Here is an 18,292-nt window from a genome sequence, read left to right on the forward strand (position 1 = left end):
CTCACAAAGTGCTGGGATTACAGGCGTGAGCCCCTGCACCTAGCCTTGGTGTATGTCTTCTATCCATTTACCTTTTTCTTATTTATTGGTAAGAGTTCCACATAGAGTCAATTATTTTCACGGATGTCTTTTAACTTTGGGTTTTTTGCAGTTTTAGACAGTTGAAAGTTTTAGAGTAATGTTTTCATGTGGTCAAATACAAATCTTTCCTTTTGTGATTTCTTTAATCACTTCTCAAAGGTTTTATTATTCTTTTTTTCTTTTGAGAGACAGGGGCTCACTCTGTCACCCAGGTTGAAGTGCAATGGCACAATCATAACTCACTGTAGCCTTGAACTCCTGGGCTCAAATGATTCTTCCACCTTGGTCTCCCAAGTAGCTGGGGCTACAGGTGTGCACCACCATGCCCAGCTAATTTTTGTATTATTATTTTTTTTTGTAGAGATGAGGTCTCACTCTGTTGCTTAGGTTAGTCCTGAAATCCTGGTCTCAAGCGATCTTCCTACCACAGCCTCCCAAAGTGCTGGGATAACAGGTGTGTGCCACTGTGCCTGGTTTCTTTTTCTTTTATGATGATAAAAGTGTTATGTGCTTATTATAGAAAATTCAAAAAATGCAAACAAGTATAAAGATAAAAATACAGTCCCCTATTAACTTTCCACCTACTTTAAGATGACTCAGCAGCATTATATGCCTTTCTTTTTAAAAAATGTATCATATATGAAAGAGTAAGTTGAAATGTATGCATACAGTTAAAGGAATATCAATAAGCCAGGTGTGGCTCAGGCCTGTCATTGCAGCACTTTGGGAGGCCAAGGCAGGAGGATCACTTGAGGCCAGGAGTTCAAGACCAGCCTGGGCAACGTGGCAAGACCTTATCTCTATAAAAAATTTTGAAAATTAGCCAGACGTGGTGATGCATGCCTGTAGTCCCAGCTACTCGGAAGGCTGAAGCTATAGGATCACTTGAGCTCAGGAAATAGAGGCTGCAGTGAGCTATGATCGTGCCACTGCACTCCAGCCTCTAGGTGACATAGCAAGACCTTGTCTCACACACACACACACACACACAGAGATAGAGAAAGATTATCAGTAAAACAAACACCTATGCATTATGAACAATGCTATTAGCTTTCTTATATATATATCTCCTGATGCACGTATATAAAAGTATCCTTCAGGAGTGTGTACCCACCACTCAGCTTAGGAAGTGAAATATTACCAGCTCCTTAGAAAGCCCCAGGTTGCCATGGACTTCCAATATTATCCCCCCATCTCCAGAAACATCCCCTGTTTTCTAGAGGCAACCACAATCCTAAATCTATCTTAATCACTCTCTTGGTTTTCTTCATAGTTTTACTATCTAGCTGTCTACCATTAAACAATATAATGCTTAGTTTAGGCTTTTTTTTTTTTTTTTGAGACAGAGTCTCACTCTGTCGCCCAGGCTGGAGTACAGTGGAATGATATTGGCGCACTGCAACCTCTGCCTCCTGCGTTCAAGCGATTCTTCTGCCTCAGCCTCCCAAGTAGCTGGGGCTACATGTGCGTGCCACCATGCCCAGCTAATTTTTGTATTTTTAGCAGAGACAGGGTTTCACTGTGTTGGCCAGGCTGGTCTCGAACTCCTGACCTCAGGTGATCCTTCTGCCTTGGCCTCCCAAAGTGCTGGGATTACGGGCATTAGGCTATTTTTGAACATTATTTCTGACATTTGCTTCTTTCCCTTGATGTTATTGTGTTTTCAAGGTTGGGTTGTGTAAACTGAGAAGGAAAGGACAGTTCATTCATGTTGTTGTTGTAGAGTGTTGGAGTGTGTGCATATACCATGGGTTATCCATTCTGCTTTTGATGGACATTTGGATTGCTTCCAGCTTTGAGCTATTACGAACAACAATGCTATCAACTTTCTTACACATGTCTCCTGACACACGTATATAAAAGCATCCTAAAGTGGGCATACCTAGGATTGTCACTGCTGGGTTATATGCACATGTTCAGCTTTCTAACACCTCATTCTTTCCCAAAGAGGCTGTAGCAATTTACACTCCCACCATACATTCACTCATTCATTCATCAAACACCTTCCAACCCCAGTAGCATGTCAGGTGCAAATGCCCCAAAAGCCAACATGCCTTTTACCGGGCGCGATGGCTCATGCCTGTAATCCCAGCAAGTAAATAACTGGCAGTAAATAATTCATCATTGGTGCACATTCACTTGGCATTATTCTACTTGAAATTTCTTGCAGGTTGCTTGGTATGAAGTAATAAGTTAATCATAAAAAATGCTAAAATGGTTCTCATTTTTGATGTATTACAGGTATTTTATCAACTGCTGAGAGAATCGGGGTAAAATACTTCCCTGTGATGGTAGAGTTTGTCAATCAATTTCTCCTTATAGAGCTTTTCTTTTTTTTCCGGCTTTCAGTGTTTTGAGGCTATTAGGTACATGAAAGTCTAAAATTGCTACACCTTCTTGATGTATTGAACCTTTTATCATTATGTAATGACCCCTTTATTAAGGCATTTTGCTTCAATCCTGTTTTAAATAATATGAACATGGCTACTTTAGCTTTCCTTTGGTTAGTATTTGGCTGATATATCCCTTTTTTAATCTTTCAATTTTTCTTCTGTGTCCTTATGTGTGTGTGTGTGTGTGTGTGTGTGTGTGTGTGTGTGTGTGTATGTTTTTTTTTTTTTTGAGATGGAGTCTCGCTCTGTTGACCGAGCTGGAGTGCAGTGGCGCGATCTTGATTCACTGCGACCTCCGCCTCCTGGGTTCAAGTGATTCTCCTGCCTCAGCCTCCCACATAACTGGGACTATAGGTGTGCGCCACCACATCCAGCTAATTTTTGTATTTTTAGTGGAGACAGGGTTTCACCATGTTAGTTGGCCAGGATGGTCTCGATCTCTTGACCTTGTGATCCGCCCGCCTTGGCCTGTGTCCTTATGTTTTAAGCATGTTTCCTAAAAACAGTATTGTCTTAGCCAACCTCCAATATCCAGTTCACACCTTGTGTAGCCTTCTCTGACATAGTACGATGGCAGGAGACACACACACACATGCACACATACACACACATATGTATAAATGTATATGTGTGTATATTTTTATAATATATGTATATTTTATATATGTATAAATATATGTGTATATTTATGTATGTATAAATATATGTGTGTGTGTATTTTATTTAGAGTTGGAGTCTTGCTCTGTTGCCTAGGCTGGAGCACAGTGGTGCGATCACAGCTTGCTGTGGTCTTGAAGTCCTGAGCGCAAATGATCCTCTGTCCTCAGCCTCTCTAGTAGCTGAGACTGCAGGCATGTGCTACCACACCCAGTTATTATTATTTTTTAATTTAATTTTTTGTAGAGACAGGCTCTTGCTCTGTTGCCCAGGCTAGTCTTGAACTCCTGGGCTCAAGTGATTCTCCCACCTTGGCCTTTTGAGTATCTGGGACTATAGGTGTGTGCCATCACACTGGCTAATTTATTTATTATTTTTTATATGTAGAGATGGGTCTCACTACATGGACCAGGCCGGTCCCAAATTCTTGGCCTCAAGATATTCCCCCACCTCAGCCTCCTGAGTCATTAGATTACAGGCGTGAGCCACTGTGTCCAGCAGAAGACATGTTGGCTTTTGGGTTCCTTGTGCCTGACATGCTACTGGGGCTGGAAGGTGTTTGATGAATGAATGAGTGAATGTATGGTGCATATTAAGCAGTATAGATAAGTGGAGGATGGAAAAGTATTCCCTTTCTGATAATGGTGTTTCATTGTAACATGAGTTACTTTTTTCCAAAGCAAATTGATATACAGAATTTTCTTTAAAATAAATATATTTTTATTTATCATACCTCCAGCTTCAAAGACACAAAATGAGACACCTGCTTTTCTACGATGGCACCAGTGACAGAATGGGCTTTTGCACTAGTGGGGGCAATGGCAGCCATGCTCTCCTTCCCGCCATGCTCTCCTTCCCACCATGGTAGCCAGCATCTGTTCTTGCAAGTGCCCGGATTCTTTTATCTGTTTGCATCTGAGCCTGGGGGGGCTTAGTGCCTTTGTCAGGCATATTTGAGGCAAGGAGAAGGAACTGGGGCTATCAAGGAGGACTGCTGGCTAGGCGCGGTAGCCCACTCCTATATTCCCAGCACTTGGGGAAGCCAAAGCGGGAGGTTCCCTTGAGCCTAGGAGTTCAAGACCAGCCTGGGCAATATAGTGAGACTCTTTCTCTGTATATTTAAAAAAAAAAAAAAAAAAGATCTTCACAAACCTAATAAGCCCGGCATGATGGCTCAAACCTTGATATGGTTTATGGCTTTGTGTCCCCACTGAAATCTCATCTTAAATTGTAATCCTCACGTGTTGAGGGAGGGACCTGGTAGGAGGTGGTTGGATCACGGGGGTGGTTTCTCCCATGCTGTTCTGATAGTGGGGGAGTTCTCACAAGATCTGATGGTTTTAAAAGTGGCAGTTTCCCCTGCGTGCTCTCTCTCTCCTGCCGCCTTGTGAAGAAGGTGCTTGCTTCCCCTTCACCTTCTGCCACGATTGCAAGTTTCCTGAGGCCTCCCCAGCCATGAGGAACTGTGAGTCCATTAAACCTCTTTTGTTCATAAATTACCCAGTCTCAGGTAGTATCTTATAGCAGTGTGAAAATGGACAAATACATGCCTGTAATCCCAGCACTTAGGGGGACAGAGGCAGAGGCCAGAGGATAGCTTAAGCCCAGGAGTTCAAGACCTGCCTGGGCAATGCAGCAAGATCCCATTCTCCACAAAAAGGAAAAAAAAAAAAGACCCACCCCCTCCCCCCACAAAAAGAAAGGAGAAAGTTTGAAGGGGTCTGCAGCTTGGTGGCAAAGTCATGGGAGTGGGAGGAGCTTACTCATAGCAGCCTTCCCCGTGGGCTCTGAGAATTGAAGAGAGCCAGGAGAAGGAGGACTCAGGCCTCCAGAGCCTGCCAGTTACTCTGGGATACCCTCAGGAGAGTCATTTCCCCTCTCTGGGCCTCTGGGAAATGAGAAGGTGGGACTTGCTGCTTTCCAGGCACTTGGGGTTTCAGGGTGTGGCTCAGCTGATAAGAACAGAGAAAACAGCCATGGTGCCTGTCTGTTCTCGGCTGAATGTTCCTTGTAGCAGGTTAAACAAAGCCCTGTAGAGAGAAGCTTGACCACCGGTCTGGGAAGGGCTTCATTCTGCTCACCCGGTACCTGTGAATCACCTGCTGTGATGGTGTGGCTCAAACTTCCTCCTCTGCCCTGTGGGAGGGTTGAGGACTTTAGTGACCTCTGCTTTTCCCCAGAGTCACTTCCCCTTCCAAAGGGCTCAGGCTTTTCTGTCCCATCCCCCCAAGTAGAGGTCTGCTGCTGACCATCACTAACAGAGAGGAAATATTTCTCTTGTGTGAAAGCACTTTCTATCTTACTTTTTTTTGGAGACAGGGTCTTGCTCTGTTGTCCAGGGTGGTGTGCAGTGGCACAATCATAGCTCACTGTGGCCTTGACCTCCTGAGCTCAACGGATCCTCCCAAGAGGCTGGGATTACAGATGTGAGTCACCATGCCCAGCAAATCTTAAAAATTTTTAATAGAGACCAGATCTTGCTATTCTGCCCAGGCTGGTCTCAAACTCCTGGCCTCAAGTAACCCTCCTGTCTTGGCCTCCCAAAGTGCTGGGATTACAGGTGTGAGTGACCACACCTGGCCCCTCTTACATTTAAAAATTAAGGCTGGGGCCGGGCACAGTGGCTCACGCCTGTAATCCCAGCACTTTGGGAGGCCGAGGTGGGTGGATCACGAGGTCAGGAGATCAAGACCATCCTGGCTAACATGGTGAAACCCCGTCTCTACTAAAAATACGGTCGTGGTGGTGGGCTCCTGTAGTCCCAGCTACTCGGGAGGCTGAGGCAGGAGAATGGCGTGAACCCAGGAGGCAGAGCTTGCAGTGAGCTGAGACCACTCCACTGCACTCCAGCCTGGGCAACAGAGCGAGACTTCGTGTCAAAAAAAAAAAAAAAAAATTAAGGCTGGGTGCAGTGGCTCATGCCTGTAATCCTAGCACTTTGGGGGGCAAAGGCAGGCGCATCACTTGAGATCAGGAGCTCGAGACCAGCCTGGCCAACATGGCAAAACACCATCTCTACTAAAACAATACACACACACACACACACATACACACACACACTCACAATTAGCTGGGAGTTGTGATGTGTGCCTGTAGTCCCAGCTACTTGGGAGGCCGAGGCAGGAGAATCGCTTGAACCCAGAGGTGGAGGTTGCAGTTAGCTGAAATCACACCACTGCACTCCAGCCTGGTTGACAGGCTCAAAAAATAAAATAAAATAAATAAAAAATAAAAATAAAAATTAAGCTACTAGAGCACTTTGAGGGTTAGCCAAGACAAAATGCTATTACTTGACCTCAATTTCCTGTTGACCCCTCAAAGCAGTTTAGCTGCTGAGCTCAGCACATTCCTTAAGTCAAAGACCATCTGGCTTTTCTCACCTCTCTGCCTGGTAGCCTGATGCACATGCCTAGTGCAGAAGGAGGCCCCATGGTGCAGTTGAATCTATAACTTCAGTTTCCCTGAAGGATTGGGGTGGGCGAGAGGGGCCCTCAAGTAGAGAAAAGAATTGCAAAGCCAGCTCAATTGTCCAACTTCAAATTCTTCTTCCTCTTTTCTCTTTTCTTTTCTCCTCTTCTCTTTTTTTTTCTTTTTTTCTTTTCTTTGAGAGGGAGTCTCACTCTGTCACCCAGGCTAGAGTGCAGTGGTGTGATCTTAGCTCACTGCAACCTCTGCCTCCCGGGTTCAAGGATTCTCCTGCTTCAGCTTCCTGAGTAGTTGGGATTACAGGCACCCGCCACCATGCCCGACTAATTTTTGTATTTTTAGTACAGACTGAGTTTCACCATGTTGGCCAGGATGGTCTCGAACTCCTGACCTCAAGTGATCCGCCTGCCTTGGCCTCCCAAAGTGCTGGGATTAGGGAAGGCACCATGCCTGGCTCCTTCCCCTTTACAGTTGCTAAAACATTATAATGAACCCATGGATTGAAGTGGATAGGGCAGATACAGACCAGGGAGTTGAGGAGGGTACCCTTTCTTCAGGGGCCTTCCAAGGTCTCCTTTTTTTCCCCGCTGAGATGCTGGGTGCATGGGAAGAAGCCGGCAGGAAGAGTAAGTTTCGGGTTTTGACCTCCACACGGGGGCTGATGTGAGGAGCTGACCGCTGCACAGGATGGTCTGCATGAGGGATATGGAATGTCAGACCCTCGGGGAGCCCCCAAATCACAGCAGGATTGGCATCATCAATGGTGCTCACCTCCCACTTCCAAAACGCCACACTCCTGGTCTCCCTTCTCAAGTCCTGGCTTACAGCTCCATCTGCAAGAATGGCCTCCGTGTGTTGGAACCGCAGTGCTCAGCTGGGGCTCTCCTGTCCTGTGATTACCTCTCTCCCTGGTGATTACATCTTTTCCCTGGGTTAAGTACCTTCAATAGTCCGAGGACTCCCAAAATGTGTATTTCCAGGCTGGCTCCAGAGGGTTCTGGGTTTCTTATGTGACATCTCCCCTGGAACAGGCATCTAAATCTGATATGTCTCAGTGTTTGCCTAAACCTGCTCCCTCAGTCTCCATAGACAGCACCATTTCCCACCCAGGAGCTCAAGCCAGACCTCTATTCCCTTCCTCTTCCTCACCCCTGACCATCCATCAGAAATCAAAACCAGGCACAGAGGCTCTCCCAGTTACTCAGGAGGCTAAGGCGAGAAGATTACTTGAACCTAGGAGTTCGAGACCAGCCTGGGTGACATAGTGAGACCCTGTCTCTATAAAATTTTTTTTTAAAAATTAGCCAAGTGAGGTGGTGTACACCTGTAGTCCCAGCTACTCAGGAGGCTGAGCCAGGAGGATCGCTTGAGCCCAGGAGTTCTAGGCTGCAGTGAGCTAGGGGGCACCACTGCACTCCAGCCTGGGTGACAGAGCAAGAACCTGTCTCTTAAATAAATAAATTTTAAAAATCAAAGCCAAAGCCCCCCAACTTCTCTCCACCCTCCCCACCACCATCCTCCCTCAGCTGGTGCCCGTGTCCTGTTCCCAGAGGGTGTCCCTGAGCCTTCTCTGTTCCTTGCTACGCACAGGAGCCAAGGTGATTTCAAAGTATAGATTAGAACCTGGGGCTCCCCTGTTTCAAACGCTTCATTGATTTTCCCATTGCAGGTCCATTTGATGACACCGAGTTGTCCCCATTTGGAGCAGGGACGGGTTGTGGAACAAGGTCTGACTCTTGGGTCTAGGTTCTGACAAGGGCCGATGAGGATCTAGTCAATGAATGTGTTCCAGAGTCACAATTTTGACATTTCCAGAGAAAGAACAGTGCAGTTGTAGTGATCGCTTATTTTTTTTTTTTCTGGCAGCTTCTGCTCTTTGCTCCTCTGGACACAGACCCCACTCCCTGGGGTCTCCTGGTCCATCCTGGCTATGATGACAGGCAATGACTGAGGTATGTCCAACAAACTCTCTTAGCTCCTGGCCACACTCACACTGAAGTTTCTGGGCTGAGTAGCCTGCCAAGCTCCATCATTCTGATTCTCTCTCCTTGAAATCTGAAGCAGAAACAGAGACGCGGATTGCTGGGAAGAGGTGTTCGGAGTCATGTCACGGTAGCATCCCAGGGAGAAGGTCTGTGGATTCCTGCTGCTGCAGTTCCCAGAGCTGTTCTGCTTTTGTATTTGCCTGGGATTGTTCTGAGCCTCCTTTAATGGTCTGAGCTTCCCTGGTATCCTTCCAAAGAAGCCCTCCCTTTTTTTTTTTTTTTACGACAGTCTTTCTCTGTCACCCAGGCTGGAGTGCAGTGGTGCAATCTCAGCTCACCACAACTTCCGCCTCCTGGGTTCAAACTATTTTCCTGCCTCAGCCTCTGAGTAGCTGGTATTACAGGCACCCCGATGATGCTTAAAGAAGCCCTATTTTTGCTTTGCTTAGTGGGGATTGAATGCTGCTACTTTCAGGGTGCAAAGAGGCTGCAGAATTGCACAGGGCTGCACTTGGCCCTCAGCACATACCGCAGAGGCACAGAGGGCACAGAGAGGCTAAGCTTGAACGGCATCGCCCCCTCCCCACCGAGGACACACTTCTGCCAGGCACCCTGAATTCCCAGCCTGGTGCATCCTGGGAGGAGGGGGCCAAGAAAAGAGTAGCTCTGTTTCTGTGTCAGTGTCTCACCCAAAAGTTGCAGTTGTTAAGACTACCAGTGTTTTGGTTTTTTAAAACTTTCATTTTAGGTTTACGGGTCCACATGCAGGTTTGTTATGTAGGTAAGCTGTGTGTCATGGAGGTTTAGTGTACAGATTATTTCATCATCCAGGTAGTAAGCATAGTACCTGATAGGTACTTTTTTTTTTTTTTTTTTAAGATGGAGTTTTACTCTTGTTGCCCAGGCTGGAGTGCAGTGGCACAATTTTGGCTCACTGCAATCTCCGCCTCCCGGGTTCAAGCGATTCTCTTGCCTCAGCTTTCCGAGTAGCTGGGATTACAGGTGCCCCCCACCATGCCTGACTAATTTTTTGTGTTTTTAGTAGAGATGGGGTTTCACTTTGTTGACCAGGCTGGTCTCGAACTCCTGACTTCATATGATCCACCTGCCTCAGCCTCCCAAGTGCTGGGATTACAGGCGTGAGCCACCGCGCCCGGCCAATGGGTACATTTTTTATCTTCACCCTCCTCTACCCTTTGCCTGCAAGTAAAACCCAGTGGCTGTTGTCCCCTCCTTTGTGTCCATGTATACTCAATGTTTAGCTCCCACTTACAAGTGAGAACATATGGTATTTAGTCTTCTGTTTCTGTGTTAGTTTGCTTAGGATAATGGCCCCCAGCTCCATCCACGTTGCTGCAAAGGACATGATCTTGTCCTTTTTTATGACTGCATAGTATTCCATTATATATATTTTGGAGATGGAGTCTCACTCTGTCACCCAGGCTTGTATGCAATGGTGTGATCTTGGCTTACTGCAACCTCCACCTCCTGGGTTCAAGCGATTCTCCTTCCTCAGCCTCCCAAGTAGCTGGGATTACAGGTGCCCGCCACCATACGCGGCCAATTTTTGTATTTTTAGTAGAGACCAGGTTTCACTATGTTGGCCAGGCTGGTCTCAAACTCCTGACCTCATGTGATCCACCCACCTCTGCCTCCCAAAGTGCTGGGATTATAGGCATGAGCCACTGCACCCAGCCTCATGGTGTATATGTTAACTACATTTTCTTTTTCTTTTTTTTCTTGCGATAGGGTCTCACTCTGTTGCTCAGGCTGGAGCGCAGTGGTGTGATCACAGCTCACTGCAGCCTTGACCTCCTGGGCTCAAGCGATCCTCCTACCTCATCCTCCTGAGTAGCTGGGACTACATGCCTGCACCACCATGCCTGGTTCATCTTTTAAATTTTGTATAGAGATAGGGGTCTCACCATGTTGCTCAGGCTGGTCTTGAACTCTTGGGCTCAGGCAGTCCTACCACCTTAGCCTCCTAAAGTGCTGGGATTCCAGGCAGGCCTGAGCCACTGCGCCTGGCCCCTGTATCAGATTTTCTTTACCTAGTCTACCGCTGATGAGCATTTAGGTTGTTTCTATGTCTTTGCTTTTGGGAATAGTGCCGCAATGAACACATGTATGCATGAAACTCCTAGAGTTTAAATAACAAAAGCATTAGAAATGACCTCACACAGCCCAAGTCGGGAAGTACGCGGTTATGGAGCTGGATCAACACCTCAAACATGTCAGGTGCTGAATCTGAGTTTCTGTGATTCTCAGATGGATTTTCATGACTGCAAGATGCTGGTTGCAGCTCTGAGCTTCACTTACCAAGTTAGGAAGGAGGGGCGATCACCCAGATGCTGAAAGAAAGAACCATTCTCATCAATGTCCTCCTTTCTATCAGAGAGGAGAAATCTTCCCTAGTAACCGTCTGGCTTATTTCCCCATTGGCTAGAGCTGTAGTCATGTGGCCACCTTTAGCTCCCTGGGCAGCTGGAATGTGGGCAGCCCATTGGGATTGGAAAGCCTGCTTTGGATTGTCAGGATTCATCCCCTGAGGTTGACACAAAGCTGCCCAAGCCAATGATGGTTAGCAGAGGAGGCAGGAGGACTGGCTGTTGCCAGGGCGGTTAACTGTGCCTACCACAGTGGCCACATCAGATTCTCAACTTTGCTGCCAGGGAGTTGACAAATAACTATCACCTTTTTCTAAAATGGAAACCCATCAGATGGATAGGAGCATCAACTCATAGGTGAAGGGAATTATGCAAATGAGCCTTGGAGGGGTGGCTCACACCTGTAATCTCAGCATTTTGGGAGGCCGAAGTGGGAGGATTCCTCAAGGCCAGGAGTTTAAGACCAGCCTGGGCAACATAGCAAGACCCTGTCTCTACAAAAAATTTAGCTGGGCTTGTAGAGACCCTGTCTCTACAACAATTTAGCTGGGCGTGGTGGTGCATACCTGTAGTCCCAGCTACTTGGGAGGCTGAGGTGGGAGGATCACTTGAGCCCAGGAGTTGGAGGCTACAGGGCTATAGCGAGCTATGATCACACCACTGCACTACAGCCTGAGTGACAGAGCGAGACTCTGTCTCAGAAAAAAAAAAAAAGGAAGTGGCAGGGGGTGTATTTTCAAAGCTCCCAGTGTAACTGACCAACCTTTTGTTTTTTTTTTTTTTTTGAGACAGAGTCTCGCTCTTGTCACCCAGGCTGGAGTGCAGTGGTGCGATCTCAACTCACTGCAACCTCCGTCCCCCGGTTCAAGTGATTCTCCTGCCTCAGCCTCCTGAGTAGTTGGGATTACAGGCACACACCACCACGCCCAGCTGATTTTTTTGTAATTTTAGTAGAGACAGGGCTTTGCCATGTTGGCCAGGCTGGTCTCCAACTCCTGACCTCAGGTGATCCACCCACCTCTGCCTCCCAAAGTGTAGGGATTATAGGCATGAGCCACCGTGCCTGGCCTGACCAACCTTTTCTAAGCAGGATGGGCACATGTGTCCACATCCTTTCCATGACTGGTCCAAGGTCAGATGGACTTTTTCAAGCTTCCTGGCTCCCAGTATCTACACCACAGAGAAACAAGAACCCCATCTGTACTGCACAATGATGTGATGTGGCCCAGCTTACACCACCAACGTGGGTTAGAATTTCAAACAGAGAAATGAATAATAAAATCTGTCCTGACTAGCAAAAGCCCTGGGGACGTAGCGGAAGCAAATATAAAACTGCTCTTCATGGACTTGGTCACAGTCCAAAGGGCATGAAATCCCATAGAAAAGACACTCCCCTCCACCTTGGAAGAGAAAATAATAACAGACATTATAACTCATGGGAGGGAGAGTCCCAGCTGTGAATGTATCAGCTTTCCACGAACTCAAAATGAAGGCACAAGCTGGAAAATTCTATTGAACAGGTACATTTAGTATCATTAAAATGGATAAAGAGAGAGAGAGAGAGAAAGGGAAGATGGAAAACACAATGAAACTATATGTATATATTATAAAAAGGCTCAATAGAACTTCTAGGGAAATTATTCACTGGAATTAACCATCATTTTTATTTTTTTCTTTCTGACAGGGTCTTACTCTGTCACCCAGACTGGAGTGCAGTGGTGTGATCATAGCTCACTGCAGCCTCCAATTCCTGGGCTCAAGCGATCCTCCTGCTTCAGCCTTCTGAGTAGTTGAGACCACAGTCGTGCACCACAGACCATCACTTTTTCATAGTGCTCTTTACTTTTGCACTGATGCTCCCATCCATCAGATGCAAACACACGTCAGAGCAAGGCTACTCTTGGGGCCCCTTGTAATGAATGTGACAGGTTTGTAGGATGGGGAGAAGTGGCCTAGACCTGTGTGTGAACAGCAGAATCATTCCCTGTGCAGGAAATCAAATTCTCAACCTTGGCCTAGAGAATTTTGTATTTTGCTTATATGATGGTGCAAACATTATATATATATATATATATATATATATATGTAGAGAGAGAGAGAGAGAGAGAGATGGAGTCTCACCCTGTCACCCAGGCTGGAGTGCAATGGCGTAATCTCGGCTCACTGCAACCTCCACCTCCCGGGTTCAAACGATTCTTCTGCCTCAGCCTCTTGAGTTGCTGGGATTACAGGCACCAGTCACCACGCCCAGCTAATTTTTGTATTTTTAGTAGAGGCGGGGTTTCACCATGTTGGCCAGGCTGGTCTTGAACTCCTGACCTCGAGATCCGCCTGGCTCAGCGTCCCAAAATTCTGGGATTACAGGTGTGAGCCACCGTGTCTGGCTGCAATTTTTAATATTTGACTGTTCCCAGCCTTTGTGAGTTTCCTCCTTTGCCTGTGAAGAGAATATCGTCTTTGATGCATGCAACTTCACAGTCCACAAGGTGACTCAGCCTTCATCAAATGATTTCCTGCAATTTTTAAAAAATGCTGAATTGAAGAATTTTCCTATGATGAGGGAGAGATGAGAAGTAAAGGCAAGGACTTGATGAGAAAGGCCCAAAAGAGCTGCATAAGAAGGAGAGGGAGGAAAAAGCCACCTGGGTACGGAAAGTGCCTGGAGAAGGAGGAGAGAGACTCCTCTGAGTGTGGGGAAGACAAGTCTGTTGGCAACGAGAGGCTCTGCAGAATACAGGAGCACTAGCCAGGAGAGGAAGAAGAGGACACAGTAAGTGTTGCTAAAGTTAGGGTTTGGATCCTCTGACATTTCTCAAGAGATGCTAGCTAAAGATGGAAATTGCTATTTATTTATTTATTTCGAGGAGAGTCGTTTTTTTTAAATTCCACGTGGCTCGCACGATCCTCTGAATGCGATTCTCAATAGCGATGGGTGTCAGGAGGTTTCCAACTCTCTATGTCCAGAGGTCCAGTGATCAACGCACATATACACGTTAACTTGGAAATCCCTTGAACACAGGTGCACACATCTCCTTTCCCTTGGTCTGGGTTAGTGAGGTGCTCCTTAAAGAGTAACAACCCTTTTGATGGGGGAGCACAAGTGGAAGGTAAACCTCAAGTTGACTGCGGCTATGATTTTGGGGGTATTTAAAACATTTTATTGTGAAATTAACATATTGTAAAATTGACACACCCCTGCCCCCGGTATACAGTTCTATGAGGTTTGTTTGTTTGTTTGTTTGTTTCATTTTGAGACACAGTTTCACTCTTGTCGTCCAGACTATAGTGCAATGGTGCAATCCCTACTCATGGCAACTTCCACCTCCTGGGTTCAAATGATTCTCCTGCCTCAGCCTCCTGAGTAGCTGGGATTACAGGCACCCACCACCATGCCCAGCTAATTTTTATATTTTTAGTAGAGACATAGTTTCACCATGTTGGCCAGGCTGGTCTCAAACTCCTGACCTCAAGTTATCTGCCTGCCTCAGTCTCCCAGAGTGCTGGGATTACAGGCATGAGCCACCACGTCTGGCCATATGAATTTTAACACATATGTAGATTGGTGCAACAAGATGCCATCAGGACACAGAGCAGTTCCATCAACCTAGAACATTCCCCTATGCTACCTCCACTCTCCCCTACCCAGTCTTCTGCCACCTCCAATCTAGTCTCCATCACTATAGTTTGTCTTTTCAAGAAAGTCAAATAAATGGAATCCTCCAATATAAATTATTTTTAGCATCTTCAGTGTGTAAGCAAACTTTTATTTTTTATTTATTTTTAATTCTTTTAATGTTTAATTTTTGTGGGTACATACTAAGTGTATATATTTACAGGGTACATGAGATGTTTTGATACAGGCATGCAATGCGTCATAATCACATCATGGAGAATGGGGTATCTGTTCCCTCAAGCATTTATCCTTTGAACTACAAACAATCCAATTATACTCTTTTAGTTATTTTTAAATATAGAGTTATTTATTGACTATAGTCACCCTGTTGTGCTATCAAATAGTAGGTCTTATTATTTTGAGCTATTTTTTTTTGGTACTCATTAACCATACCAACTTCTCTCCACAGCCCCTCCCTACCCTTTCCAGCCTCTGGTAACCATCCTTCTACTCTCTATCCCGGTGAGTTCAATTGTTTTGATTTTTAGATCCCACAAATAAGTGGGATCATACAATGTTTGTCTTCCTGTGCCTGGCTTATTTTATTTAACATAATGATCTCCAGTTCCATCCATGTTGTTGCAAATGACAGGATCTCCTTCTTTTTTATGGTTGAATAGTATTCCATTGTATATGTGTACCATATTTTTTAAATCCAATCATCTGTTGACGGGCACAGGTTTCTCCCAAATCTTGGCAATTGTGAACAGTGCTGCAACAAACACAGGAGTGCAAATATCTCTTCAAGGTACTGATTTCCTTTCTTTTGGGCGTATACCCAGTTCGTGGGATTACTGGATCTAATGGTAGTTCTATTTTTAGTTTTTTGAGGACCCTCCAAAGTTCTCCATAGTGGTAAGTGAACTTTTAAAGACTGGCTTCTGTCACTCAGCCTTTGAGATCTATCTAAGTTTTTGTGCATATTAAGAGTTTATTCCTTTTTTTTTTTTTTTTTTTTGAGATGGAGTCTCGCTCTGTCGCCCAAGCTGGAGCGCAGTGGCACGATCTCAGCTCACTGCAAGCTCTGCCTCCCAGGTTCACGCCATTCTCCTGCCTCAGCCTCCCAAGTAGCTGGGAATACAGGCGCCCGCCACCACGCCCAGCTATTTTTTTGTATTTTTAGTAGAGACAGGGTTTCACCGTGTTAGCCAGGATGGTCTCAATCTCCTGACCTCGTGATCCACCTGCGTCGGCCTCCCAAAGTGCTGGGATTACAGGCGTGAGCCACCGTGCCAGCCAAGAGTTTATTCCTTTTCATTGCTGAGCAGTATTCCATTGTATGGAAGTGCCACATTTTAAAACATCGATTCACCTGTTAATCACTTGTTGAAGGACATTTGGGTCATTTCCAAATTTGAGTGATAATGAATAGAGACTCTGTAAGCATTCATATGCAGTTTCTTTTTTTGGTGACAACATAAGTTTTTATTTCTCTAAGATAAATATCCAGAAGTGGTTTGATTTCTTTATAAGAAATTGCCAGGCCAGCCATGGTGGCTCACGCCTGTGGTCCTAGCACTTTGAGAAGCAGAGGTGGGAGGATCACTTGAAGCCAGGAATTCAAGAGAAGCCTGATCAACAGAGTGAGACCCTGTCTCCACAAAAAAAAGAAAAAAGAAAATTAGCCAGTTGTAGTAGCTCATGCCTGTAGTCCTAGCTACTCAGGAGGCTGAGGTGGGAGGATTGCTTAAGCCCAGGAGGTTGAGGCTGCAGTGAGCTATGATCGCACCACTGCACTCCAGCCTGGGTGACAGACTGAGAAAGAAATTGCCAGACAAATTCCAGACTGGTTGTACCATTTTGCATTCTCAGCAGCAATGCATAATGCTTCTAGTTTCTCTGCATCCTTGTCAGCACTTGGTCTTTTTTCATTATATCCATTCTAGTAGGTGTATCTCATCATGGTTTTAGCTTGTATTTCCCTAATAGTCATAAGGTGAGTATTTTTTCAAGTGCTTATTTGATTTCTCTGTGTCCTCTTTGATGAAAGGTCTGTTCAAAGACCTTTGTCTACTTTTAATTGGGCTGTTAGTTTCTTAGTGTTGAGTCTTGAGGATTTTTTGTATGTTTTGTGTACATGCCATTTGTTGAATATGTGATTTGCAAATATGTTATTCCAGTCTGTAGCTTTTCATTTAATTTTCTTAATAGGTTTGATGATGTCCTGGCCAAGTGTGGTGCCTCATGTTTGTAATCCTAGCACTTTGGGAGGCCAAGGCAGGAGGATTGCTTGAGGCTAGGAGTTGGAGACCAGCCTGGGCAACATGGTGAAATCCTGTCTCTACAAAAAATACAAAAATTAACTGGATGTGGTGGTGAACACTTGTAGTCCCAGCTACAGTAGCCCTGCTGAGGAAGAAGGATGATATGATCTGGGAGGTCGAGGCTGCAGTCAGCCGTGATTGTACCACTGCACTCTAGCCTGGGTGACAGAGTGAGACCCTGTCTGAAAAAAATAAAAATAAGTAATTTTGATAAAGTCCAGTTTATTACTTTTTTTTTTCCATGGATTGTGCTTTTGGTTTCCTGTCTAGAAACTCCTTACCGACTTCAGGTCTTAAAAATTTTCTCTTATGTGTCCTAAAAATTTTACAGTTTTATATTTTATATTTAGAACTGTCATCTATTTTGAGTTAATTTTTTATAAGGTATGAGATTTTGGTTGAGGTTCATTTTGCACATGGATGTCTACTTGTTTAATATCATTTGTTGAAAAAGCTATCCTTCCTCATTGAATTGTTTTTGCATCTTTGTCAAAGGTCAATTGGCATTTTGGTAAAATTTTTGAATATTGAGAAAAAAAGTGTCAACTGGATATTTGTGTGGGTCTATTTCTGAACCCTCTCTTCTATTGATCTATGTGTCTGTAGCTTCACCAATACCACACTGTCTTAATTACTGTAGTGATACAGTAAATCTTAGAATTGGTTAGTGAGATACCTCCAACATCACATTTATTTATTTATTTATTTACTTATTTATTTATTTTGAGATGGAGTCTCGCTCTGTCGCCCAGGCTGCAGTGCAGTGGCGCGATCTCGGCTCACTGCAAGCTCTGCCTCCCGGATTCACACCATTCTCCTGCCTAAGCCTCCCGAGTAGCTGGGACTAGAGGCGCCCGCCGCCACACCTGGCTAATTTTTAAAATATTTTTAGTAGAGACAGGGTTTTACCATGTTAGCCAGGATGGTCTCAATCTCCCGACCTCGTGATCCACCCGCCTCAGCCTCCCAAAGTGCTGAGATTACAGGCGTGAGCTACCGCACCCGGCCCACTTTTATTTTTAAATTTAATTTAATTTAATTTTTTGGGACAGGGTCTTGCTCCATCACCCAGACTAGAGTGCAGTGATGTGATCATCGCTCACTGCAGCCTCAACCTGCCAGGCTCAAGCAATCCTCCCACCTCAGCCTCCCATATAGCTGGGACTGCAAGTATGCATCACCATGCTTGCTAATTTATTTTTATTTTTTGTATAGATGGGTCTCTCAACTATGTTGCCCAGGCTGGTCTTGAACTCCTGGGCCCAAGTGATCCTCCTATCTCAGCCTCCCAAAGTGCTGGGATTGCAAGCATGAGGCACTGCACCTAGCAACTCTTTTTTTTTTTTTTTTTTTTGAAAACAATTTTGGCTATTCTAGATCTTTAACTTTTTAATATACATTTACATATAAATTGATATTATTTTTA

This window comes from Homo sapiens, chromosome 7 (assembly GCF_000001405.40).
Source record: "Homo sapiens chromosome 7, GRCh38.p14 Primary Assembly".
In the NCBI taxonomy this organism is placed as follows: domain Eukaryota; kingdom Metazoa; phylum Chordata; class Mammalia; order Primates; family Hominidae; genus Homo; species Homo sapiens.